Source organism: Homo sapiens, chromosome 9, assembly GCF_000001405.40.
Source record: "Homo sapiens chromosome 9, GRCh38.p14 Primary Assembly".
NCBI lineage: Eukaryota > Metazoa > Chordata > Mammalia > Primates > Hominidae > Homo > Homo sapiens.
In genome coordinates, this window is record NC_000009.12 from 132,400,616 (window position 1) to 132,427,578 (window position 26,963).

The window sequence follows — 26,963 nt, forward strand, 5'->3', positions numbered from 1 at the left end:
CCTGGCCTTAAACTTTTCTTAAAATGGCTCTCACTTAGGCTACTAGAATATTAAAGCAAGATGAGATCTTGGAGTTGACTCAGTCTGTGATTTTCAAACTTTTTACTGGAACTTGAATTACTTGGATATATCTCAGAGGGAGCCTAGAAGCTAAAAGTGCAGCCCTAAGCCCCATTTCCACTGGTTATTTGCTCAGACTATTTTTCAAAGGTAATTTGGGCTTTTATATTTTTCAAAGGTAATTTGGGCTTTTAAATTTACTCATAGATTTTCTAGGGCTGGAATAGTTCTTAGTGAAAATCGAATCTGTCTTATTTCACACATGAAGAAATTAAACTACCTGCCAAGTTTACACAATTAAAGATGTACGATATTCTGTACAATGAGGGTCTACCTCTTGATGATTTTTGCCATTTAATATGTATGTGCTAAGGGTAGGCACGGTGGTTCACGCCTGTAATCCCAGCACTTTGGGAGGCTGAGGCAGGCGGATCACCTGAGGTCAGGAGTTCGAGACCAGCCTGACTAACAAGGACAAACGTCGTCTCTACTAAAAATACAAAATTAGCCAGGCATGGTGCATGCCGGTAATCTCAGCTACTCAGGAGGCTGAGGCTGGGGAATCGCTTGAACCCGGGAAGTGGAGGGTGCGGTAAGCCGAGATTGCACCATTGCACTCCAGCCTGGACAATAAGAGCAAATCTCCACCTCAAAAATAAATAAATAAATAAATAAAAATAAAATTAAAAATAAAAAAAAGTCTGTGCTAAATAAAGAGGTATCGGCAGAATCCATACGAAAGAAATATACCAGCAGCTGGAATACCACTCCCTCGTTACCTTGGCGCCTCTTGCACGTGCTTGCTTGCCAAACAGGCCTGGGTTTTCTTTTGTCGGGGCCTAGATTTCACACCTTCTTCCATCATGGCGCCATCACCTTCTACTGAATCAAAGAGTGTGCTCTCAGAGTTCTTACTGGGCACTGAAAAATCATCACCAGACACTCGTGCCCTTTTGACAGACGTAAGCTTCCTTTTCTTAGACTTCTTCTTTGTACTGTTGGATTCCTTGAACCCTTTAAGAGCTGTACTGCCTTCCACAGTCCCAACCTCACTGCCCACCTGTGATCCTTCAGGGTATGCACTCTCGAGGCTCTCAGGCATGGCCACTGCCTCAAATTCCTGGTGATTGGACTTTTTCTTTTTTTTCTTAGACTTGTTTTTATAAGCAGGTGCTGGTATTCCTGCAGTTTCACCATGCAGGCCCACAGCAGGCCGGGATTCCTGCATATCAGCCCCAACCTCACTGCCCACTTGTGATCCTTCAGGCATGGCCAATGCCTCAAATTCCTGGTGATTGGACTTTTTCTTCTTTTTTTTCTTAGACTTTTTTTTGTGAGTAGGTCCTAGTAGTTGTGGAGTTTCATCATCCAAGCCCACAGTAGGCTGGGATTCCTGCATATCAGTCCCGGCCTCTCTGCCTGCTTGCGATCCTTCAGGCATGGCCAGTGTCTCATATTCCCGGTTACTGGACTTTTTCTTTTTTTTCTTAGACTTGTTTTTATGAGCAGATGCTGGTAGTTCTGTAATTTCACCCCCTGGACCCACAGAAAGCCAGGACTCCTCCTGGTGGGATTCTGACTGAGGCAGGGTGTCCCTTGCCCGCTGGCTCTCCCAGGATGCAGCTTTCCTCTGATGCTTTTTATTCTTTTTCTCCCTAACTTTACTGTGCAGGGCTTCTGATTTATGTGCATGTGACTTAGCAAGTACCTGAAATTTGTCTGTTTTAGGCTTTCTTGGTAACTTCTGTTCTATGCTCATATCAACACAAACAACATCAACATCCTTTCTAAAATGCTTTGGTGTGTTGTTAATATTTTCTTTATCCACAAGGACAACTGTAACACCTGCTTCCTCGTCCACCTCCAAAGCACTATATCTTCTCTTTTTTCTCTTTTTGAGTGTGGAAGTGGCATTTGCAGTCTCATCACAGATTCTGGATTTTTTCAAAGGAGAAGAAATGAGATGCTGGAAATCTTTTTTCCTCTTTTTCCTCCTAGTTATTTGAGACTGTTCATTCACCAGGGAGGAGTCTCTGAAAATTTCGTGGGAATGTTTCTGAGGTCTTTCCTTATGTATAGAACACTTTTTCTTTTTCTTGTCAGAAACTGGAGTGTGGATTTCAAATCTGCTTGATTCTCCTTCCATTTTATTCCTATATGGAAATGTGACAACAATGGTTTATTTTTGCTTTTTTTTTGAGACGGAGTCTCACTCTGTCGCCCAGGCTGGAGTGCAGTGGCGCGATCTCGGCTCACTGCAAGCTCCGCCTCCTGGGCTCATGCCATTTTCCCGCCTCAGCCTCCCGAATAGCTGGGACTACAGGCACCCACCAGCACGCCCAGCTAATTTTGTTTTTGTATTTTCAGTAGAGATGGGGTTTCACTGTGTTAGCCAGGATGGTCTCGATCTCCTGACCTCATGATCCGCCCACTCCAGCCTCCCAAAGTGCTGGGATTACAGGCGTCAGCCACCGTGCCTGGCCTATTTTTGCATTTTAAACATAGCCTCAGCGGAAAAAATCACAGCAAAATGAAATTGTATGACAAATGACAAGCCTGTAGTCATGATTACAAATTTCAGATTATTCTAGATACACAGGTGGCTCACTGGAATTCTCTCTGTCTGGTCCCACTGCCTTTATGATAGAGAAAAAAAGAGTTAACAGAGAACAACAGTGCCTTGCACCATAAGGCCCCTGTCCCCCACAGCCTCACCTCTGAACTCGTCTTTCCAACTCTGCGTTTAAGCCAAAAGCAGCTTGTTTTGCTTCCTCAAACGTGCCATAACCTTTCCCCCCCAGCTCTCCATGAAATTCTCTCCACAGCCTCCCCACCCTCCTTGCCTCCTGCCATCCTTCAGAGCTTGGTTTGAAGATCAGTTCTTCAAAAAGTTTTCCCTGATTCCTTGGGCTTGGCCTGATTCCCAAGTAATATACTTTCATATTTAAAAAAGAAACATTTATTTAGTCATTTACAGGCTGTCTTCTCTGCTTTAAAAAAAAAAGACAAAGAAAAAAGAAAACAAGGAAGAAAAAGATGGTTTATCTGTCTTGTTCCCCTCTGTGTTTGTACCATGGAGAAGCCATTAGACTCCATTCGAGTGCAGGATCCACAAAAGGGCTTCGCAGTGGGGATATCAGGTATCCACTGACCTCAAACCAGAAGTTGGCCTCTTTGTGAAAGAAGTTGGATATGCCTTGTTAGTGTCCAACAAAGAGCGGACGTTCTGCGATACACTGGAATAAATTTCACAAGCCACTAACGTTAATACTCACATACAGGGTGTGTGCACTTGGAATTAAAATACAGAAATATAAATGCACTTTCCAAAAGAGATGATTAAAAATATAATTTTGCAAACATGTCTTATTGTTCTCTTTGCTCTGTATTGCTTCTGGGTTTCATTTTTTTAGATTTATCTTTGGCTAAATGACACATTTACGTCGTACAAAAATAAAAATGATCTTCATATTTCCTCTCCTTTTTTACACAGAAGGTTAACATCTATATATTGTGATCTGCATTTGCTATTTTCACCTAACAACATAGATCCTGGAGCTCTCTCTATATCAGCGGTCTTTAAAGTCTCAATGCTAAGCACATTTTCTACAGAAGCTACCTAATTTATCCGGGGTAGTAAATATCAGCTGTATTAGACAAGGAATATGTTACTCCCCCAAGTCTAACACACCTACTTGCACTGCCACATCCTCTCTCTCTCTGTCTCGCTGCAACAAAGGAAGTGTCCCTTCTGTCAAAGGCTATTTCCTTCCGTTATAGGAAGGAAAATGTGTGCTGGCTCCCAACCCTCTCCTGCCTTCTCAGAGAGATGGTGGTCTCTCCGTATCTTCTCTCTCATCTCTCTCCTGTATCTTCAGCCTGCGTTTTCTAGCAAAATGCCAACAATATTTAATCTCCTCTAACTTAAAAAAAAAATGCAACTGTCGTTTAACCCTAAAGTCTCATCCAGCTGTTCTCTTTCTTCCCCTTCACAGCAACATTTCCTGAAAGAGAAATCACTCTTTCCATTACCTCACCTTTCATCCACTTATTAACCCACATCCTGGTAGCTCCCACCCCACTACTCCACTGAGACCGTTCCAGCAAGAGTGCCTTTGTTCTTAAAGCCACAAATTTCAACAGACACTTTTCAGGCCCATCTTTTAGGACCTCTTAATAAATCACAAACAGAGCAAAGCCGATTATTTCTTTTTTTTCTTTTTTTTTTGAGACGGAGTCTTGCTCTGTCGCCCAGGCTGGAGTGCAGTGGCGTGATCTCAGCTCACTGCAAGCTCTGCCTCCCGGGTTCACGCCATTCTCCTGCCTCAGCCTCCCGAGTAGCTGGGACTACAGGTGCCCGCCACGACGCCAGGCTAATTTTTTTGTATTTTTTAGTAGAGACGGAGTTTCACCGTGTTAGCCAGGATGGTCTCGATCTCCTGACCTTGTGATCCAACCGCCTCGGCCTCCCAAAGTGCTGGGATTACAGGCGTGAGCCACCCACTGGCTGATTTCTTTTCTTTTCTTTTTTTCTTTTTCTTTTTTTGGAGACAGAATCTCGTTCTGTCACCCAGGCTGGAGTGCAGTGGCACGATCTCGGCTCACTGCAACCTCCGCCTCCCGGGTTCAAGCGATTCTCCTGCCTCAGCCTCCGGAGTAGTAGCTGGGATTACAGGCGCAAGCCACCAAGCCTGGCTAATCTTTGTATTTTTAGTAGAGACGGGGTTTCGCCATGTTGGCCAGGCTGGTCTTGAACTCCTGACCTCAGGTGACCCACCTGCCTCGGCCTCTCAAAGCGCTGGGATTACAGGCGTAAGCCACAGCGCCCGGCCTTGATTTCTTTAAATAACATTTCCCCTTCCATCAGTTCCTTTCCTTCTTTTTTGTAAATACTTCCTAGGCTGCTCTCTGGTCTCTGGAGCCCAGTACAACCTTCTAAATATATAGTCTCTCCCTGCTAAAAACTTTTTAGGGTTCCCCTGTTATTCTTAAGATAAAGTCAAAATCCTCACAGACCTGCAAGAGTCTTCATTTCTTCATAATCTAGCCTAGAGATGGACAGAGGTAAGTCCATGCCCACCTCTCTACCTCTCACTTCTCTCTAGGTTTCAGAAACCCTGCTGTTTTCAGTTCCTAGAATACACTACCTTCCTTTTCGTCTCAGGAACTTTGCAAAAACAGCCCATTCCATCAGGAAAGCTCTTCCTCCGCATTACCTTTCTGCCCTTTAACTGGTCCAAGTATGAAAGCCACTTTCTCAAGAGGACCTCTCTAACTCCTTAGCCGGTCTCATCTTTCTGGTTAACAGTGTTTCCCAACAACCAGCTGCTCCCCATTGCACTTTTGGCAGTTATAATATGATCGGCTTCTTGAGGGCTGGAATCCTGGCCATCTTGCTCCCAAATGGCTCCCCAGTCAGTGCTCGATACATATTGAGAACGGATATGCATTTATCCCCCCTTACTCAGAACATACACTTCCCGCTCTGCAGGTACGTGCCCAAACCTGGTCCCGGATTCTCTCACCGCCTTTGGGGTGCGAGAGAGACCCCGCTCTGCTCCCGGGTGGGCGCTCCAGGGCTGAGACTGGAGGAACTAACCAGATGTGAATTCTGCATCTTCTCACTCCCAAAGACCCAAGCCGCGGCCGGGCGCGGTGGCTCACGCTTGTCATCCCAGCACTTTGAGAGGCCGAGGCGGGTGGATCACCTGAAGTCAGGAGTTCGAGACCAGCCTGGCCAACATGGTGAAACCCTGTCTCTACTAAAAATACAAAAATTAGCTAGGCTTGGTGGCGGGCGCCTATAATCCCAGCTACTCGGGAGGCTGAGGCAGGAGAATCGCTTGAACCCAGGAAGCGGAGGTTGCAGTGAGCCGAGATCGCGCCACCGCACTCCAGCCTGGGCGACAAGAGCAAAACTCCATCTTTAAAAAAAAAAAAAAAAAACACCCAAGCCTCAGTTTCCCCGAGATAAGGCCTGGGGCAAAGACCGCGGCCTGGAGACCTCAGGCCAAAAGGCGGGTCTCCCAGAAGACGGGGAAACCCACCACCCCACGCTGAGTTTTTACGCGCGCATTTTGAAAAACAGAAACAACAAAGGCGCTTTCAACTTACCCTCCGAAAGCGCCGCCACCTTTCTCCCAACCCGGAAGTGCTGCTGTTGAGGAAGCGGAAGTAGTAGTGCGTCGCCTTCCGGCCCCCTCGGCGTCACGCTGCCATGGTAACACGGCTGCCGCTAGGCCTTGGAGGCGCGCACATTTGCCTACCCATTTTCCTTCTGGGTCCTTTAGACGTCAGGTGGGGTAGAGAGTGCTCCTGAAACGAAGAAAGTAGGACAGAATCCCCCTCCATTGACGTACTAATGCATGCGTGCATTCCATTTATTCCAGTTTTTGGTGAACTCCAGGAACAACTTGGGAAGACAGATGACAAATCAACTAAGATAATTTCAGATTATCTTGTAAGGAAAATAAAACAGGGTGACGTGATGGAGAGTGACTAGGGGACGGTGGGTGCTACTTTAGATGTAAGAGAGGGCTCACTGAGGAGGTGACATTTGAACTGAGTTCTAAATGGAAAGGGCAGGCAAAAAATCTAGGCAGAAGAGTGTTCCAGGCTGGAAGTGAGTGCAAAAGTCCTGAACTTGGTTGCTGGAGGACCTGGGACAAGGCCAGAGCAGCTGGAGCACAGAGTGAATCCACACAGTGAACCCACAGGGTGACAGACAGGTCGCACACGCCCAGCCTAAGTGAATGCATGTGAATGCAGGGGAGGGGGTGGGAGAGGAAGTCAGAGGTCTGCAGGGGCTATCTGGTGCAGAGGCTGATGGATGTTAAGCTTGGATGAAGTCTCAGAAGTTTAGAGTTAGCAGGAGCTTTGGAGATCTATCCCAGTCTTCCCATTTCAACAGAGTCCTGAAGAGACTTAGCCAAAAGGGCAGCTTTAACCTGGCCATCAATTCGAGGCCATTATATTTACCAACCAAACGTTTAACCTTTTTGGATAGTGAACATATACGATATAGGCAACAAGTTTTCTCACTTAATCCTTGTAATGAGGTATTATTAGCCCCACCTTGTGGATGAGAAACCTGGGTTTACAGTAACTTGTCCAAGGTGACTTAAATGGGCCAGCCAGAAATCAGACCTATGCTCTTTCTACTACTCCACTATCTTGCCCCTCACTGTTCCACCTGACTTCTATGTGATCTGCCAAGTGGCTTTGATTAAAAAATGCACAAACTATGCTTCCGTGAAAGTCTGGAAGGGAAGCAGGTTGGAGAAACGATGAGCCTATGTATGTACTCATGTTGCCATGCAAGGGCTGCTCTGGGATGTGGACGTGCAGTTGGAGCTCCGTCTGGAGAAGTCTGTAAATGTGGTGTTGTCCACTGTTGATATGGAAGGCCTTGAAGTCCAGGTCCGTCATTGGTGTCACGTGTTCTGTGGTGACCCCACTTACCCAGAGCCTTGTGGTGCTAGTGATGCATGAATGAACCCACAAAAGGCTGGCACTAGAGGAGAGATTAGATATCATCCAGTATCGATTCAGGAAAACTCCAATAGTGGTTTCCAATCCTCCTCCAACTGCACCAATCACCTGGGAAGCTTTTTTTTTTTTTTTTCAAATGCAGAGTCTCAACTTTGCAATGGATTTTATATTAAACACTATTGTATCACATTAAAATCTTCGGACATGATAATGACATTGTAGTTACACATGGGAATGTCCTTGCTACATGATGACGTACTTAGGGTTAAATATGGTGTTGACAGATATTTTTCAGGTGATTCTGTAATGTGTGTATGTGCATGCTCACAGAGAGAGAGCAAGAAAATGTGACCAGTGCTGGGGACGGGTGAATCTGTTAGTCCAAACTGCACCATTTTGTAAGCCCCCTGCCATTTTGCAGACCTTGCTTAAAGTGAAACATTCCACGGGGGTTCAGGCAGTGAGAAACAGCCTGCCTCTTATCATATTCTGCTGGGAGAAAGTGACAGGAACATCACGTTCCACCAGAACAAGGGCCAAACTGCCTCATCATGGGAATACCTTATCAACATCTTCCCGGGCAGCAGGCCATACCCACCGGGCCCCTCCCCGCCCAGGCCTATAATTTCTCCAGCCTGTAAGCAGCGGTAGGCACTGGCATTAAGCTGGTCTCCCACCTCTGTAGGTCTCATGCTGGACATAAAGCCTGAATTTGCTGTAGAGCCGCCACTCTTTCTTTAACCCTCCCCTTCCCTTCAAAATCTAACCGAATCTAGGTGAAGCCTATATGTATTTTCATTGTATTCTTCTTTCGACTTTCAACTTTTCTGTAGGTTTGAACTTTTTCACCAAGTTGTGGGTGGGTGGGTAAGGGGATTTTTAAAAATGCAGCATCTGGCCTGGTGAGGTGGCTCATGTCATTATCAGAGCAAGACTCCGTCTCTTAAAAAAAAAAAAAAAAGGAGAGCCTCAGATGCCATTTCCAGATATTCTGATTTAGTGAGTCTGGGGTGAGTCCTGTGAATCTTCGTTTTTCTTTTTTTGGCACATGGTCTCATTCTGTCATCCAGACTGGAATGTAGTTGCCGAAACACGGCTCATTGTAGTCTCAACCTCCTCAAGTGATCCTCCTGCCTCAGCCTCCCCCATAGCTGGGACCACAGGTGTGTGCCAGCACACCTGGGTAATTTTTTTAATTTTTGGTAGAGATGAGACCTCACCATGTTGCCCATGCTGGTCTCAAACTCCTGGGCTCAGGCCATCCTCCCTCCTAGGCTTCCCAAAGCAATGGGATTACATGGGTGAGCAGCCAAGCCCAGCCCAAATCTGTATTTTTCAATTTCCCTTCATTCTGTTGCTTAAATTTGGGAACCATTGATGTAATCCAACTCTAGCGTTTCCTTGTCACCCATCTCACAGGAAAAAAAGAAAAAAAGCCCTTAGGATCCAAGAGGGTGACTTGCCCGAGTCCTCCCAGTGGGTCAGCATCAGCATCAGGCTTGGAATGCATTTAGTGCTCTGTCTCAGGTGTGTGTGTGGCGCAAAGAGCAGAGGTGGGGAGGGGTTGTGAGTGGAATGGGGGTGAGCAGAGGATGGAGTCTTCGACTTGGAAGACAAATGTAAATGACCCTCTATGAGCCACGCCGCTTTGAACGCAACCCACTGGAGATTCTCGGTTCTCCTGTATCGATTCAGGAAAACTCCAAACAAGTCCACACTGGTAGCCACCAAGAGTTTCTTGAAAGAAAAGTACAAGCCGAGCCGGGCTCTGTTGGCGTCCCGTCGCCAAGGAGACGGGCCGTTGCATTCGTCCTCCAGGGGTGGTCTTGGTTTTCTTTCCTCTCCCAGTCTGCAACGCGGGGCCCAGGAGACGCCCTGAGGATCCCGCGGGGCTCCTGCATTGCTCCGGGGCTCTTTGCGATGAGGGGCCGGCGCGAGCGGGGCGCGCCTGGCTCCGGAGGGGTCCTGGCATCTGAGTTTCCCCCTCAGGATCCCGGTGGTGCGGCCCGGGCCGCCCGGCAGGCCCTTCGGAGCTCCAGGCTGTGCCCGACGTGGGGAAGCGCGCCCAAACCAGCCCGCGGGCCGGCTCCCCGGCGACCTCAAGGATGCCAGAGGCCAGGAGCTCCGGCCCGGACCTCACGCGATGGAGGAAGCAGCAGCAGCCTGTGCGCCGCACGGTCAGCCAGGTCTGCCCGCCCCCGCGGCGGCCCCTGACCGTGGCGGACATCCGTTCCGGCATGGAGAACGAGCGGCTGGGGGTCGTGCGGGACTCCATGTTTCAGAACCCTCTCATCGTCAAGGTGAGCACCCCACGCCCACCGCGCTTTCGCTGTCGCCGGCTCCGGGCACCTGCGCCGCCGGGGGTCCCCACCCGCAGCGCCCTGGCCCCGCGGCCCGGGGTCCGAGCGCAGCGTGGGAAGCTCCAGCTCTGGTCCAGACAGGCCTGGACCCCCATGCAGGTCGCGTCGCCTCTCTCAGCCTCGGTTTCCCCATCCTCACAGTGGGATGATAATGGCACCACTAAAGGGACTGATTGGGAAGATTGAATAGGGTAATTTCTGCGGGACCTCGGGACAGCGCCTGACATGGGGTAAGGCTGCAATGGGTGCTGCTGTGGTTTCCCACAGAGTGAACCCACAGGGTGACAGATAGGTCGCACACGCCCAGTCTAAGTCGTGGCTGCCAGCCCTCCCAGGGTAAAGGCCGCCTCTCCGGTTCCGCTGCACGCCTGGGGTACGTCTATGCAGCGGTGGCTCCGTGTCTGTCCTGGAAGCATCACGTCGAATGTTCATTTCCGTTCGATCATACTAATTTCTTACCCAAATTACAACCCTAAGAGAAAAAAAGCATAATCTTTGGCCTAGGAGGCTCCGCAGACAAGAATGAGGGAGCTGCGGTTTCGGGCTGGATCACTTTCCCTTCCATTACACTTCCCTCCTCCCCACCTTTAGCCTCGCTTCCCGCTGATGGGAAACCAACACTGCTGTGGCGGCCACACCTTCCCGGGGGCCACTGGAGAAGTCAGGCTGAGGCTTGGGGGTCAGGGAGCAAGCCTCGAGGCGAATTTATCTTGCGCCGCTGGAGGGCAGTGCGCCTTTAAAAATGCGCCCCGCGTCCCAGGTGCGGGAGTGGAAGGCGCAGGTGGTAACCGTGGATTCAACAACAATTATTTGTGTGACCGCCAGGCGCTGAGTAGAGCCCAGAGGTGGTGGTGGCGGTTTGTTTTTGTTTTGGGGAAAAGGGAACCCGTGCTAGAATTAACTGAGTTAATTGGCTCCTGGCAAAACATTGACTCCCTCCTCTTGCCTTCCCTAAACTCGGTCCTGAGAGGAGGAAGGATACTGCCTAGGCGCAGGCTGCACCTGGGGGAGGCTGGCTTCCCACACTCGTGCCTTTCCATCGAATAGGCTCCTTTCTTAGGCCTCTCAAAGTGGAACAAGGTCCTTCACTTACTTCTACGTGAGAAGAGCCACTCTGAGTGGACAGGCAGGACAGGCAGGTGGGGCCCATTATTCTTGGATGAAGGAGAGAATCACGTCCGCCACCTCTGACTACCTGCATTAAGGTTAGGTCGTTGCTTTTGTTCAAGTAGTTAGTAGTGAGCCAACTTCTTCCTACTGAAGTGTAAAGTGAGGGCGTATGGAGTTATTCTCCATGGTGAGTTAGTGTGTGGTGCCCACGCTGAGCAATATGTACACACACACACACACACACACACACACACATACATGCATATGCATTTGTGTATGCACCCATATAACATACCGTTTACATCTATCATATATACATGTATGCATATGTATAATATACATGTACATATGTGTAAAATGTATGTACATATATGTAAATTTCCCCCTTCTTTTCCTTTTTCCTTTTGCTTCCCCCGCCCCACCCAGCTATATCGAGGACAACATTTGGCCTCTGGATGGCACTAGCTAAACAGCTTCTAGGACCAATTCAATCCCTGATTTCTGAACCCAAGCTTAGGGTCGGAAAATGTACAGGAGGTGACTCACCCACGACTGGGGTTCTGTCTTCAGGGCACGAGATGCAGAGCAGGTCTGCCCTGGCCCCTGGTGACCATGCTGGAGCAGCAGGGACCCACGTCCAGGCTCGTGCTCTCTGATGATGGAGCCTGGGGTTCTCTTCTTCCACCAGGGACAGCCAGGGGGCAGCCTTTACCTCTGGCTTTCCTTCGTGGGTTCTTCGGGGTCTTTAAGGTACTTTCTGGAGCAGTTAAGATGACGTCCACTTTTCAGTATTTACCATATATAATATTAGAATATCTTATAACTTTAGAGGTCAAAACCTGACATAAATAAAAGTTGGCAGAGAAATTGACCGCAAAAGGGAACCTTGACTGTTATCTTTTCTGGACCCTTTTTGCAAATGAGCACACTGAAGCCACCTCTGTTGTTTTTTTTGGGTTTTTTTGTTTGTTTGTTTTGTGCTTTTTTTTTTTTGTTTGTTTGTTTGTTTTGCTCAAGGTTTTGGCAGAGATTGGGTTTGCAGCTTCGTTTGCTAACTCCCAGCCCAGCATTATTTTTACCACTTCAAACAGCTTCCTATATTAGTTTTTTTAAAAAAATTATGAAACAACTTTGGTGTTTTTGACTAAAGAAAAAGAGAAAATGGAAAATATGTGAGGTTGTGGAGCTTTAAGATTTTTTTCTTTTCATGTTATGGAAATTTCTACTGAGCTTGGCTTGTGGATTTCTTCATTGTGGCATGTCAGTTTCACCATCATAGATTTTCAGCTCCCCGTAGTAGTGTGTGCCTTTCCGCTATGTATGGTAGAGGTTGGGAGTGCACTCTGCCGTGGTGTCTTTAGGAGGGTGATTAGAACTAAAGTATATTTTGGTTTTGTCTAAGTCTGAACCTGAAGGTGTGCATTGGAAGACTATAGCACCTTAGAAATAGGCATTTATTCTACCATATTGGGGGGTTGTTTCGTGGGTTGTTTTCTCCAATGAATAGGATCAGCATTTTTTTTCATTTAAAATGTAGAAATACTGACTGAACAAACTCAACAGTGTTATTTCACATCCATAAAATTTACCAGGATGTATACACATCAGTTATTCAAGAACACGTCTGCAAGTTGCCACCATAACCAAGTGAAAAGTGAAAAACTGAGACATCCAAGCAGGTATTTTATCTACAGATGCTCAACAACCATTTGCCTCATTTAAAACCAAGTCAACTGGTTATTTAATAGGAGTGATTGAATCAAGTCGGTGTTTTACATGGCCACAAAAGATGTAAATATTTTCCATTAGAAAGGGTTTCAACTCTAGTATAGACAGTGATGTGCAGTTAGCCCGTTTTCCTTCAAATGTGACTCTCTGGAAAGAATAAAATTAAATAGAGAAAGAACCAAGCTTCTCCCTGCTTGGTTCTCATTTCCCCAGAATTCTGTGACTCCACATAGAATCCTGCTACAATAGCCTTCAAGACTCCTTCACAAAACCTGTCAGGGTTGCACCTTTCCTGCCATCGGAACTCAGCTGATAACCTGTCAATACAATTATAGGGAGAGACTGCTTGGTTTGCTCCCCTGACAGCCTTGGATCTTCTGTCTCCCTGGAGAGGCTGCCTATGTACGGGGGTGGAATTTATGGAATCGAGCACCCTTAGAAAGTGTAAAAGATCGTAGCACCCGATTTTTTCATAATTTATTATTGACTTTGTTTTTCTGTGAGGTTTTATGTAACCAATAAGAAGTGCATGCATTTTTAAAATAGAGTCATAGAGCAGACACGGCATTTGGGGCTGGAAGACATCTTACAGACATCTAGTCCACCTCCTTTTTTGAGGAGATCAAGGCCCAGCGAGGGGAACAGACTCATCCGAGGTGCTATCCTCACCTGGTGGCAGAATTGGGATGAGACTAAGGTCTCCTGGCTTCCAGCCCCACGTTCTTTTGGCCACAACATATGATTAATTAACCAATGACAATCCAGATTGGTGACATCATGTATAGCAGGCAGTCAAAAAGTGTTCACAGATGAATCAGATCCCAATATCATTTCATTCAATGTTCCTTCCAAAGTGAGCTCTACTGATTTCTTAGGACTTCTTGACGGCCAAGAAATATTTGTTGAAGGTTTGTCAAGTGCCCAGTGCCATCCTGAGCTTTCCTGGGGGCATAGAAACAAGTTTAGAATTCAGCGTTGCTGAATTTCACAGGAGTTAACCATTTACTATTTAGCTGGGGAGATGGGATACATGCACACGTTTATAACTGTGCAGATAGAGATGAATGCGAAGAGGCAGGCAGCTTAGCACAGCACCTGCTGTAAGGAAAGCTCTTGGGAAATGTTAGCTCTTATTCACACACACACACACACACACACACACACACACACACACACGCAGGTATGCACAAATAAGACAGGCATTGTGATGGGTCCCCACCCCCGTAAGTTTTCAAGTGAGCTGCATTGCCCGGAAGAGTTCAGATTTGCAGGAAGGGAGTTCTGGGCAGGTCTCAGGGACCTGGAACCAGACCTTGAAAAGTGAAAAAGCAGAGTTGGGAAAGTCATTCAGCTCCATTCCGCCCTCCTCGGCTCCTAAATGCTTGTAGGTTTTCACCCCAACTTGAGTCCTAGTTTACAAGACCCAGTGCTGCCGCTGGGATCATTATCATTATCATCACGAGGAAGCGTTTATTTAGAGCCAGTGTGTTCAAATTGGATGCTCTACAAAATTAGGCAACCACACCATGCCCACTAATAGCTTAACATCTCTAATAAATATTGATGCTGGCGAACATAAAGGCACGGAGAGGGACCAACACAAAGAAGGCAGGCAGACAAAAGCCCAGTTGTACAAATATCCCAGCATGGGTCAGTATTTTTATTACATTTGAGTACAATCTGAAAATGTTACACGCAGCTTTATTGTTGAAGAGAATATACCCCTGATTGCTCCAGTCCTTTTACATTCAATTACAATGTAATAGGAGAAAATAAAACCTTAGGAAGGGATTTAAAAATGAGCTGCCCATCCTAATGGCCCCATCTTGGAGGGCCAGTGGGTCAGTTTCATTTTTCTAGAGAGTGCCGTGGGTTGATCCATCCTTACAACTCTCTCCCTCGTGGCCCTTTTTTCCTTTTTTCTTCTTTTTAAACCAAAGTCTCCCACTTCTGGGTGCCCAGGTACATCCTTCAGTGAGTCGGGCTGAGGCAGGAAACTAACCCCCCCGCCCAGCTCCGTGGCCATTTCAGAAAGCCGAGCTGCCCCCTTCACCGGCTCGTCACCACCCTGGGGCAGCCACTGCCCTGCCGGAGGAGCCTGCTGTCCTCTTTGTCCCTCTGAAGAAGGTGTGCTTTGGCTTTGAAGCGTTAATTAAGCGCAGACCTCAGCACTCAGGTTCCTCCTGTTGAACTCAGCACTTTCCTATTACGTGGCTCTCAGAACACTGCGGTGGCGTGGCAGGAAGGCCGTTCCTCCAGGAAAAATTCTGAGGCTGGGGTGAACTAATCAGAGGTCTCTTCTCACACCTTCCAGAGCATTCCAGGCTCAAGCGTTGCTCACTGTATAATTCTGCCTGCTTGTTCCTTATTTTGAAAGACAAAGTTTTCCTCATTTACAACTGACCCTGCGGACGAAATTTCAAAACCCCGTTTTCTATTGCAGTGGTTTGCAAACTGTTCTGTGGTCTTCAGGAGCATTGGAGGTCTCGTGAAATGTCTGATTCAAACAGCCTTTTAAGAAAATGCATCTTTATATTTAAAGTTTAATAAAAACATCAAGATAATTAAATGTATTTTATATCAAATGCTAACAATGGAGACCACCAACATGTTAGCTATGCTTGGAGTTTCCTAGCTTTGGGGTGTTAGTTCTCTGTGTTTGTGTGTGTGTAATGCTTGTAAAATGTGTCACAGACAATGAACATTGTAACCAGGCATAGGACTTTGGGCTGAGCGAATCCCTTGGAGTAGGACAGTGTGCTGAGGGCTTTGCGGTGGTCCCTGAGACCTGGGCTGTGTTAAACCTTAGACCCGTCTGCTGGGCTCTCACTCCTGCCTCAAGAATCTCAGGTTGGCTGGACAAAAACAAGGGAGGCACACAGTCACACTCATCCAGTGTCTGGTTGATTTTTGGCATATGCTATAACTGTTGATATGCTATAACTGTTGAGTGCTTCTTATCTGATTTTTTTTTTTTTTTTTTTTTTTTTTTTGAGACAAAGTTTTGCTCTTGTTGCCCAGGCTGGAGTGCAATGGCACGATCTTGGCTTACCACAACCTCCGCCTCCCCGGTTCAAGGGATTCTCCTGCCTCAGCCTCCCTAGTAGCTGGGATTACAGGCATGTGCCACCACGCCCAGCTAATTTTGTAAGTTTTTTAGTAGAGACAGGGTTTCTCTGTGTTGGTCAGGCTGGTCTCGAACTCCTGACCTCAGGTGATCTGCCTGCCTCAGGCTCCCAAAGTGCTGGGATTACAGGCGTGAACCACCACACTGGGCTTTTTTTTTTTTTTTGAGACGGAGTCTCACTCTGTTGCCCAGGCTGGAGTGCAGTGGTGCAGTCTTGCTCACAGCAGCCTTCGCCTCCTGGGTTCAAGTGATTCTCCTGCCTCAGCCACCCGAGTAGCTGGAATTACAGGCGTACACCACCACATCTGGCTAATTTTTGTATTTTTAGTAGAGACAGGGTTTCACCACGTTGGCCAGGCTGGTCCGAACTCCTGACCTCAAGTGATCTGTCCGCTTCAGCCTTCCAAAGTGCTGGGATTACAGGTGTGAGCCACTGTGCCCGGCTGATCTTTTGTATTAGTTTTTTTTAATGCCAGCGTTTGTTGGTCATTGGTAATGATTCAACTTTAAATAAAATTGTCCTTGGAGTCTTCCTTCAAGCTCCTGCATCAGTATGTGAAGACCACAGTATAAATGAGGAGGGCTGTTAAAATGATTCCAGACTGCAGCTTTTGTTTTCTTTTTTTCTTTTTTTTTTTTTTGAGACGGAGTCTCACTCTTTCGCCCAGGCTGGAGTGCAGTGGCACAATCTTGGCTCACTGCAACGTCTGCCTCCCAGGTTCAAGCAATTCTCTTGCCTCAATCTCCTGAGTAGCTGGGATTACAGGTGCCTGCCACCATGCCCAGCTAATTTTTGTATTTTTAGTAGAAACGGGCTTTCACCATGTTGGCCAGGCTGGTTTCAAACCCCTGACCTCGTGATCCGCCCACCTCGGCCTCCCAAATTGCTGGGATTACAGGCGTGAGCCACCATGTCTGGCCGCAGTTTTTCTTTTCACACAACTACAAAAGATATCGAAATAGGTTGGCTGCCCAGGCAGATAGAAAACTGCACCTACTTCAGCAGAGAGGAAGGCCAGCAGTGTGGTATAGATGCCAGGTTGGAGCCAGCAGATCCTAGAGTGAGTTCTGTCTCAGCCACTTACTGGCTCTGCCACCCACGAGACTATTTACCCTTTAATCCTCAGTTTCCCCTAATTTAAAATGGAATGGTAATAGTTAGCACCCCAGCATGGGAGAGTTTTGAGGGTTCAGTGAGACAGTGCAGGCAGGGTCTGGCCCAGGAAAGAGCTTAATAAGTGAGCATTTTGTTATTTTCCATTATCCCGAGTCCAAATATTTATGTTTCTCAAAGCTACCTTATTGTTCTCAGCAATTGACTTTAAGTCAACGTTAAATGTCTGAACTTATAAAGAAACAGAGAATGAGACAAATCCACCCAAGTGCTTACATTTTCCCCCTTCTGCTCTCACTGAAAAATACTGTCACCCACCTCATCTCTTGTTTCCTGTGGCCATGTGCCCTAGTTGCGAGTGAAACCATCCAATTTCTAGCACTCATGCCGAGCTTACCCTTGAGGGTTCTTGGGCAAGTGGCTTAATTTCTCAGCCTGGGTTTCCTTATTTGGAGAGTCTGGGTACTAAGACCTACCCTACCTACATCTCAAGGTTGTAACGTGGTCGGATTCAAATGAGATACTATATGATGGAAGAGATTATGGCAAAGTGGAACGAGGCCAGGAGTTCTTAATTGAGGGGGGCAGTTTTGCTCCCCAGGGAACACTGGGCCACGTCTGGAGACATTTTTGGTTATTACACCTGGCGAGGGGGTGCTGGTGGCATCTGGTGGGCAGAGGACAGAGATGCTGCTCAGCATCCTGCTATACACTGGACAGCGCTCCCAACCCCAAAACAAGGAATCCTCTGGTCCCAAATGTCAATAGTGCCAAGGCTGAGAAGCCCCAAACCAGGAGACATAAAGGAGACGTGGGAACTTCGTTATCCTTCACCCGTGGTTCATGGTCTCTTGTAACCTAATGCAAAGACTCTAGAAATGAGCCGGTTTGGTTTTAATTGCTTCTCTACCCATTGTTTGCTTCCGATTGTCTTCCTCTCATACACTTTATGGCTATTTAAAATCCCCGCCTTTGAATCCGTTTCGTTTCCCGAGCAATGTAGCTTACATGAGTTTGCTAGCTTCTGTCTGAGACTTGTCAATCTCTAGCCTCACCCATGTTGTCGTTTAAAAAAATAAAAAGCATTTCTAGCAATCCATACAGTGTGGCTCAATAATTCATTAGATAAACTCATTAGCAAAGGGGCTGATTTGTTGAGTAATCACTGACCGGTAGACAAGCTTTGTTTCCCTGGTGCACCAACTTCCAAGGATTTTGTTTGGTTTGGTTTTGTTTTCCTCAGCATGAACTAATCTAAGATTTAAAACAAAATTGATTGAGTACACCAGAAATTAAGCTCACAGTGGGCCAGGGCCCCATCACAGACTCTATGCTCTCATTGTGGCACTAAATACAGCATTTCAGGGAAGCAAATAAATATGCTTTATAAAGAAAACAGCTGTATTTTTCCACCCAGTCACTCAAAGGCACGTCAGGGTTCGGGCAAGAAACTGACAGACATGGGTCAATGAACAGGAAGGTCAACATGAGTAGCACACAGGAGGGAGAATGGCCACCAAAAGGATTGTGGAAAACACATAATGAGCCAAAAAGAGGGATTTTTGATCTTTTATATGAACCAAACAATACATATTTGGGAGACCAGTGAACTCAGAAGCATACAAGATAAATTTCTTTGTGTGGATCGAAATCTTTTGTGTTTGTCCAGAAGAATGAAAGTGGAGGCTCAGAACTCTTTGATTTCAAGGTATGTGTGGCATTAGTGAGAGGACACACCGCTGCCAGGTGGCTGGTTGTTTGTAACCAATAGCACAGCGTCTAAGCTGTGCCGTGGCGTCAGAGAAGCAGCCCCAGGGAGCCAAAGCTCGGATGCCACAGCCTCCCACAAAGATGGGGCACCCAAAAAGGCAACGAGAGAGGTGATCTTTCGGCCACAGCATTTCTGTTGAGGGAATTAGAAAATTTACTGGCAGCTTTATTAGTTAATTTTACTGGACAATAGTGAATTTGGCCGTGTCACCACATTAAAATGCCATCATAATATTCCCATTATGTAGAATCGCATTTATATTTTCCATCTGCTTCCCAGGAGATCTTTAAGAGCCAAGATATTGGCTTTTTTTTTCCTTTTTATGCATTTAAGACTGCTAATGAACCCATCAGCCAAAGAGCAAATATTTATTGAACACCTACAATGTGCAAGGGACCGGAGGAAACACAAGAGGTTGAAGACTTTGTGTCCAAGAAGTTGTAGTCTGATCAGAGAGAACCAGACTTTGCACATTAAAACTCATAAGTTATTAAAAGTGGGTGGCTGGGGGCAGTGACTCACACCTGTAATCCCAGTACTTTGGGAGGCTGAGGCAGGAGGATTGCTTGAGCCCAGGAGTTCGAAACCAGCCTGGGCAACATAATGGGACCTGGCATCCACAAAATTTTAAAAAATTAGGCGGGTGTGGTAGTGTGCACCTGTAGTCTCAGCTACTCAGGAAACTGAGGCAGAAGGATCTCCTGAGGCCAGGAGGTTGAGGCTACAGTGAGCTATGATCACACCACTGCACTCTAGCCTGGGTGACAGAGCAAGACCTTGACCAAAAAAAAAAAAAAAGGTGGAAGGAGAGGTGATGAGAGGCCAGAATGCCACGTTTAAGCGTTGAGGCAGGAGCAGTATTGGGGCTTTCCAGGCAGCGCAGACGGCTGATGAGGTTGGGCTGGGCCTGTAGGATGGACTAGATTCCACTGGGGGAACAGGACAGGAAGGGGACACCTAGAGCAAAGGCACATCACCTGGAATGTGCAAGGTGTTTTCAGCAAGAATGGACATGCCTGTAATCCCAGCACTTTGAGAGGCCGAGGTGGGCGGATCACTTGAGGCCAGGAGTTCGAGACCAGCCTGGCCAACATGGTAAAACCCTATCTCTACTAAAAATACAAAAAAAAAAAAAAATTCTGGGCATGGTGGTGCACACCTGTAATCCCAGGTACTCGGGAGGCTGAGGCAGGAGAATTGCTTGAACCCAGGAGGTAGAGGTTGCAGTGAGCCAAGATCGCGCCATTGCACTCCGGCCTGCAGCCTGGGTGACAAGTGAGACTCTGTCTCAAAAAAAAAAAAAAGAAGAACAGAACAATAACTCTATGATTCTATGCATTCATTCACTCACTTCTTTAACACCTTTTGAGCACATAATGTGTACCAGGCACAGTACCAGGCACCAAGGATACAGGGGTAAACCCACCTGGATATAGGCTTTGTCCTTGAAGAGCTTACAATCTAGCAGGCAGAAGCAGACAGAGATGAAAATCAACAGCAAAGTGGTACAGACGTGGCCACAGCCATCTGGATGGGATCCATGCCCAGCACTGAGGGCAGCTCCATCTTCACCTGGACGAAAGGAGATGAGGAAAGCTCTCATAGGCTGATGGCTTGGCTTGTGTCTTTTTTTTTTTTTTTTTTTTTTTGAGACAGAGTCTCGCTTTGTCACCCAGGCTGGAGTGCAGTGGTGTGATCTCGGCTCACTGCAACCTCCATCTCCTGGGTTCAAGTGAATCTCCTGCCTCAGCCTCCCAAGTAGCTGGAATTACAGGCGCCTGCCACCATACCCAGCTAATTTTTGTATTTTTAGTAGAGTTGGCCAGGCTGGCCTCAAACTCCTGACCTTAGGTGATCCGCCCGGCTTGGCCTCCCAAAGTGATGGGATTACAGGCGTGAGCCACCATGCCCGGCCTTGGGCTGAGTCTTGACACAAAGATTAGCAAGTATGTGGGGGGGAACTGAAGAGGTGGGGGCAGGGTGAGATCCAGGTTTTGCCAGGCTTAAAGTTTATGCAATTTTGGGATCCCTCTTTAAGAAACAGAATACAGAATTACAAATAATTTTGAAAATTAAGTCCAAGGCCTTGAAATGTGCTGGAGAGTGACCCTGAAGCTTAACTTCACTAGTTTCATGGTAAATCAACTTTGGGAGAGAAAAAGCTTCCCAGGAAAAGGGATGGCGTGTTCAGCGGGGCTGGAGTTTGGAGGGATGCACACTAGACCATTAGACTTGAGAATCCTGGGTTCTCATGCTCTGGTTTCTCTTCAAATCGTATAAATCTTTCGCCTTTTACTAAAGATTTCTGTGGAGAATCCTGGGTTCTTCTCCAGGCTTCGTGACATTCAGTCATTCATTCATTTCTTCACTAAGCATTGCACAGTTCCCCTGAACCAGGCACACCAGGCACTGGCACCACAGTGAGGAGTTCGCAGTCTACTGCACACTCTCATTGGCTCTGAAACCTTGAGTGACTCACTAGATGTCTCTAAGCCTTGATTCTGCACACCTGAATGGCTTCTCTCCCATCCTTCATTTGCTCATTTGACCATTTGCAAAATGTTTATTGAGGAGCTGTTATGTGTGCTGGGCCTTGGGGACACCTCAGTGGATAAGACAGCCTTAGTCCCAGGTGGCTTTTTTTTTTTTGAGACGGAGTTTTGCTCTTGTTGCCCAGGCTGGAGTGCAATGGCACAATCTCAGCTCATTGCAACCTCCGCCACCCAGGTTCAAGTGATTCTCCTGCCTCAGCCTCCCCAGTATCTGGGATTACAGGCTCACACGACCATGCCCAGATAATTTTTGTATTTTTAGTAGATAGGGGGTTTCACCATGTTGGCCAGACTGGTCTTGAACTCCCAACCTCAGGTGATCTGCCTTCCTTGGCCTCCCAAAGTGCTGGGATTATAGCTGTGAGCTACTGTGCCCAGCCCAGCAGGTGGCTTTCAAGGCCCTGCAGAAGACAGACAGTAAGCCAAGGACTCCTCACTCAGGGATACACATTGCGGAGGAGTGCAGGGCACTCAGAGGCTAGGGAAGCCCCACCTGGAAGATACCACGGATGCTATGTTTTAGCCCAGCCCTTCGAGCTGAGGGGTCCTGGTCAGTGAAGAGTTACTGGAAGTGGAGTGTGTATGTGTCCGCGTTCACATGAGCAATGGGACGAGACTGTTCCAGGCAAAATAAGAGATTTTATGAGAAGACCCAAAGCAAGGAGGAACCTGGAGCTTTGGGGAAAGAGGGCCAGGGGGCTGCAGTGAAGCAGCAGGGAAAGGCAGCACTGAGGTGAGGCTGGGCAGGAAGTCAGAGGCCAGGGACACCTGCAGGGGTCAAAGCAGGGGGAATACACAAAGGGCTGAGAGACAGGTCCAGAAACCAACAAGAGGCTGCAGCAACCACACCTCCTTCCCTCTACTGAAGGTGACAACAGGCGGACAAAGGGATACACTCCCAGTGGCAGCGTGCTGCGATGTGACAGCTGGGATGGACATGTTAGTTGCATCCTGGTCCCCAACCAGGCTGGGCACAGATGGCAGGACGTGTCCTTCCAGGCTGGTTTAGGGTTAGTGACTACGATTTGTTTACTTTTTGTAAGTTACACAAGCCCAAGTCCGCCGCGCTCCGTATTTTCACCAAGTCGTTCAAGGGAACCTGCTGGAGCAATTCCGGGGAGTCCCTTAGGGCTGAGTGTTGGGCTTCGCGGCTGCCTCCAAAACCTTTACAAACCATCACTGAAGATTTTTCTGTCTTTGTAGGCACCCAGGGGGCATAAATTCGGAGGTTTAAGCAAGTCTTTTAAAAACTACTCTTCTAAAAGGAAAGCGCCTGTTGGGCGAACCTGAAAGCTCTGTCTTTTCTTAGGCAGCCGCTTGCTTCTTGGGGAGATCTTCCCAGGATCACCTCACAGGATGCTCACGGGTCTGACTTCTCCCGGAGTGGGAGGATGAGGAAGAGGCTGAGCCTGGAGTCTGGGTTTCCAGGAGGCTCCTGGCTGTAGACCATTTGATCAGCTGACGCTCCAGTTTGCCCACTGACAGCTGCTGCCCTCTGTGCAATGTGCTCACTGTGTGCCGGGCACTGTGCCTCTCCCTTACATCTTTGCAACAATCCTGAGACAGGATGACTATCATTCCCATTTTACAGATGGGGAAGCCGAGGCTTATAGAGGTCACACAAATTGCCCATAGTCACCCAGCTCATGCCTGGAGGAGCCAGGCTTCCAACCAGGTCTGTCATCCCAAAGCCTGAGGTCGTAACCGCTGTGCAGATCCAAAAAACTTAGTGACATCAGTGGCCATCACTGGTTGAGTACCTGGCCAAGTGCCAGATCTTTTACATATATTATCTCAACTCTGCAAGCTCCGTGTCTTGAGCCCAGAAAGGCTCAGAAACATGCCCAAGGCCACATGAAGGGTAAATGGCAGGATTGGGGCTGGCAGTGTGGCCTGAGTAAGTCCACAGCTTGTCATGCTTCCTACATGTTATGCCACACTGCCCGTTACCCTGGGAGACCCCTTTGTCCTGATGGGAGAGAAGAATCCAGTTAATCCATGTGCTTATCACCTGCGTCTATATCTATCTGAAGGGTCAAGCTCATCTGGGGATATGTTTTCTGTTCTCCAAGGACCTTACAGTCTAGTTGGGCAGAAAATTCACATCACACACGTGCACCTACGGCCAGAAGTTGACTGCACAAGGCTGAAACCAATGCAGCCAAGACATCCATGGCTGTTAAAAAAAGAGTTAGGAGGCCGGGTGTGGTGGCTCACGCCTGTAATCGCAGCACTTTGGGAGGCAGAGGCAGGCAGATCATGAGGTCAGGAGATGGAGACCATCCTGGCTAACACGGTGAAATCTGTCTCCTAAAATTACAAAAATTAGCCGGCATGGCCTCGGGTGCCTGTAGTCCCAGCTACTCAGGAGGCTGAGGCAGGAGAATCACTTGAACCAGGGAGGCAGAAGTTGCAGTGGGCTGAGATCGTGCCACTGCACTCCAGCCTGGGCGACAGAGCAAGACTCCATCTCAAAACAAAAAAAAAAGAGTTAGGAAGAGGGAGCAGCCCTGGCCTGGCCTGGTCCAGAAAGACCTGTGGAATTGCTGGAGGGCTGAGAAGAGGAGGGACAGGTGTAGACAATGGCTAGACAAGGTGAGAAATTGGCTGCCATGAGCTTGGGTGCATTTTTAGGGGAAGTCTGGAGGAAGCACACTACCAAGAAGGCGGCAGAGGGAGGTTCCTGGGAAAGGGATGCTGGGATCAGGTGAGGACCGCTCAAGGAGCCTTCACTTTGGGTGTCACCACTTGAAAGTTTAAAGAAGAGACTCGGGATAAAGACGCATAGATACCGGGTTTCCCACGGATGTTGGATTTCAGGTTATTCCAAACGTGCGCATCTGCCGGCCAGGGAGCCAGGATGGCTGGGGGCAAAACCTCCATCAAGGCTGAGCAGAGCGGCCTCCCCCTTTTCAAAGGAAAGGCATCCCCTCCTCCTCTCCCAAACACGGCTCCCTTCTTCTCCCCACCTCCCTAATCAGAGAGAGCAAATTGTTATCAGATTAGCGCCAGCAATGAAAAGCACAGTCCCGCTCACCCTCGCAGTTAGTTAGCATTTAGATAGACTGGGACTGGGGCCCACACAATAGGCATCAAAGCCCAGCTCAGGGCGGCGGGAGGGATTAATTTCTTTAACCAACAGGCCTGATCTGGCCTAACTCATTACCCTGCCTTGTCAGCGTGGATGTTAGATTCGATTGAAGATTATACCATTTAGGCCTTTCCCTTGTTTTCTGCCGAAATCTGGGCTATTGAATTGCACATTCTTGCGTCGCCCCCGTCAATACTCAGCGGCCTGAGGTTCTAATTCTGCTTCATTTAAACTTCATCAACTTTTCCAATCAAGTGGAAGGATCCGAAATAGGCTCTGTGAGCAGAAGGGCCCGATTCCCTTTGTCAGATAATTTATTCTGTTTTCTCCTCCCCCACTCCTTTGCTCTCTTTCTCTCTCCAACCTCGCTCCCCAGTCCCCTCTCTCAATGCTCCCCCCTCCTTATCCCCATGCTGAAAATGAGATTACAGTATTTAAATGACTATGGTAATCAATCTAGGGACCCCGAGCTGAGATTGAGGTTAATTTTTCTTAGCAGAACAAAGAAGCGTGATGCCTTTGGGGACGTGAAGGTGCAGTCTGGGTTTCTTGCTTGTGTTTTTTCCCCCCCGAAATTGCAGTTTTAGGAGTCTTTTCTTGTCACTAACTAGGCGCCGAGTGTGATTTTTAAAGGCAGCAGCCTCTAAGAGAGCAGAAATGTAATTTTGAGCTGATAAACAGCTAACGGCCTTCAATCAACAATTTTAATAGGAAAAAAAGTCACTTACATGATATGGGTACAGATCTAATGAAAGGGTGATCATTTACCTTATTTATTTTTAAACACACATGGAATAATTTCCCACTGTGTTAGAACTAGTAATTACAGCCACACGGTGTGTCCGTAAACTTTTGAATGAAGAGCCTTGTCACTCAGACGGCCCTCTCCCTGGCAGCTTTTGCTGCTATAAAAGTTGAGATTTTGTCATGTTTTGGCTAATTGGAAACCGGGTCATTATACCATTGAAAATCTACATGAAAGTGACTTGTTCAATTGTTACCTGAAGCATTCACAAGCCGGCCAGTCATTCTGCCGAGACCCCCGCCCGCCTCCCCGAGCTTCTAAAACAGAGAGAATCAAAATATGTATATTTCTTTGTCTCCCTTTGCTATCTTGTCAGAGCTGTTTTACATGCTGCCACCCAATGTTATCTTTTATTTGTGTCAGGAGAAAGGATTTGACAAGTTCAGTATACAATGTTCATTTGGCAAGGCAAATTTTTCATACCAATTTTGAGTTAGGAAATGAAACTATCTTTCAACAGAATGAGCAACATCATTTTTGGACAGACTTATTATGAGAGAGAGGATTGCAGAACTTTATTTCCTTGCATGATCCCGAAAAGTCTAATACATTTTTTAAAAGTAGGATCCCGTTTCCACCTGCAACCCAAGTTGGGGGGAAATGAGAAACAACAGTAATGTCTTCAAACAGGGAGGCCTAATGTCACATTCCCCACCCCCCCTCCCTGTTTCCCGCCAGTTATTAAAAGGCTGGAATAAATTGTTCCTCTTCTATATTATAATGACTTTGCTTCAGACCCTTTAAACTGTGGGTGAGTTTCTGACAGTCATCCACATTTGCAAAGCAAAATATTTATTAACCATCATCGTCTAAAGCAGCAACGGAACCTGAGGCAACCTTGTTTGTGCAGAGCGAGATTCCCCCGCCCCTGTACCCACTTTCCATCACTGTTTGCCTAAGAAAGAAGACTCTCTCACCCTCTGTGCTACCGAATTCATTTGGGGCAGTGGTTTATGGTGACATTTTTCTTTCTTAAAGCAAATATTGACTCACCATGGGGAAATTAAAACTCCATTAGGCATCGCTACATTGTCGAGCAGCCTGCATTACAGCAGTCAAGCTACTATTAATTGGTTTCTTCCTCAGGAATAATTCAGGGAGGGCAGAGGGAATGGAGAAAGAGAAGATGGATCTCAGCCGTAATTCCTTAAAATGACACCATCTAAATCAGCAAAGGTGATCATTATGTGGTTATTAATCGAAATATAAAGAAGACACTGCCTAATAATAGGATGAATTTATCCATATAAGAAGCCTGCAGCTAAGTTATTTCTGGGCTGGAGAGAATACATTTTAAGACACAGGTGGGCCAGCCTTGGCCAGATTTGGGCCAGAACCGGCTTCCCCAGAGCACGAGAAGCCCCGATTCTTCTCTCCTCTATCTGGGTGAAGAAGTTTTTGTTTCCTGCAATGAGGTAATTAGCTGTTCCTGCAGCCCATTCACGGCTTCCTTCTCAGCACCAACGCTCTGTTTTTTCACCCTGACCATTCCCTCCTTGGCCATCCAGCAATTCCGGCCATGCCCAGCCCATCCTATGTCCCACCCACTCCACTAAGACTTCTCCGGTCCTTCTCGGGTCTAGCGGCTTTGCCCTCTGTATTAGGGCTGCCTAACGAATGACCACACATCAAGTGGCTTAAAAACAGGTATTTTGGCTGGGTACGGTGTAATCCCAGCTACGTGGGAGGCTGAGGCACGATAATCGCTTGAACCCGGGAGGCGGAGGTTGCAGTGAGCCGAGATCACGCAACTG

General features: G+C 47.4%; 2 protein-coding genes, 1 long non-coding RNA gene and 1 pseudogene across 14 annotated transcripts in view, besides 4 other annotated features; 3 read left to right on the forward strand and 1 right to left on the reverse strand.

Moving 5' to 3' along the window:
* The window catches only part of TTF1 (transcription termination factor 1), a 31,293-nt gene extending 25,068 nt beyond the window's left edge, over nucleotides 1-6,225 (reverse strand). For 3 of the 8 annotated variants that reach the window (NR_134525.2, XR_007061343.1, NM_007344.4), the window contains exons 1-2: nucleotides 6,175-6,225; nucleotides 840-2,213 (exon numbers count right to left, since the gene is read on the reverse strand). Coding sequence is in view for 3 of the 8 variants with exons in the window: in NM_007344.4 (NP_031370.2) it covers nucleotides 840-2,206 (1,367 nt within the window). In the remaining 5 variants the exon portion in view is untranslated. Of the gene's footprint in view, nucleotides 1-839; nucleotides 2,214-5,585 lie in introns of all 8 variants that reach the window. The other 5 variants (XR_007061342.1, XM_047423838.1, XR_007061344.1 and 2 more) reach the window with 3 other exon arrangements.
* Nucleotides 6,226-9,595: 3,370 nt separating this feature from the next.
* The window catches only part of CFAP77 (cilia and flagella associated protein 77), a 163,109-nt gene continuing 145,741 nt past the window's right edge, over nucleotides 9,596-26,963 (forward strand). For all 5 annotated transcript variants that reach the window (NM_207417.3, NM_001282957.2, XM_011518670.3 and 2 more), the window contains exon 1: nucleotides 9,596-9,851. In NM_207417.3, coding sequence (NP_997300.1) covers nucleotides 9,657-9,851 — 195 coding nt within the window. In that variant the 5' untranslated portion in view covers nucleotides 9,596-9,656. The remainder of the gene's footprint in view (nucleotides 9,852-26,963) is intronic.
* LOC105376304 (uncharacterized) lies at nucleotides 10,026-15,640 on the forward strand. The gene is made up of 3 exons (XR_930405.2): nucleotides 10,026-11,116; nucleotides 12,614-12,700; nucleotides 15,193-15,640. It is a non-coding gene; the product is annotated as an uncharacterized LOC105376304 (long non-coding RNA).
* Nucleotides 10,704-10,753: a silencer, noted in NCBI's record as "silent region_20431". NCBI's record gives its function as "represses an Ori minimal core promoter by ATAC-STARR-seq in GM12878 lymphoblastoid cells {active_cell/tissue: GM12878}" and the evidence as "EXISTENCE:reporter gene assay evidence [ECO:0000049][PMID:35858748]".
* RNU5D-2P (RNA, U5D small nuclear 2, pseudogene) lies at nucleotides 21,026-21,075 on the forward strand (annotated as a pseudogene).
* Nucleotides 21,647-22,148: an enhancer, noted in NCBI's record as "H3K4me1 hESC enhancer chr9:135297649-135298150 (GRCh37/hg19 assembly coordinates)". NCBI's record gives its function as "activates a minimal SCP1, AML or CMV promoter by ChIP-STARR-seq in naive H9 embryonic stem cells {active_cell/tissue: H9 hESC(naive)}" and the evidence as "EXISTENCE:reporter gene assay evidence [ECO:0000049][PMID:30033119]".
* Nucleotides 22,187-22,481: a silencer, noted in NCBI's record as "tiled region #9749; K562 Repressive non-DNase unmatched - State 21:Repr". NCBI's record gives its function as "represses a minimal TATA promoter and a strong SV40 promoter by Sharpr-MPRA in K562 cells {active_cell/tissue: K562}" and the evidence as "EXISTENCE:reporter gene assay evidence [ECO:0000049][PMID:27701403]".
* Nucleotides 24,189-24,689: an enhancer, noted in NCBI's record as "NANOG-H3K4me1 hESC enhancer chr9:135300191-135300691 (GRCh37/hg19 assembly coordinates)". NCBI's record gives its function as "activates a minimal SCP1, AML or CMV promoter by ChIP-STARR-seq in primed H9 embryonic stem cells {active_cell/tissue: H9 hESC(primed)}" and the evidence as "EXISTENCE:reporter gene assay evidence [ECO:0000049][PMID:30033119]".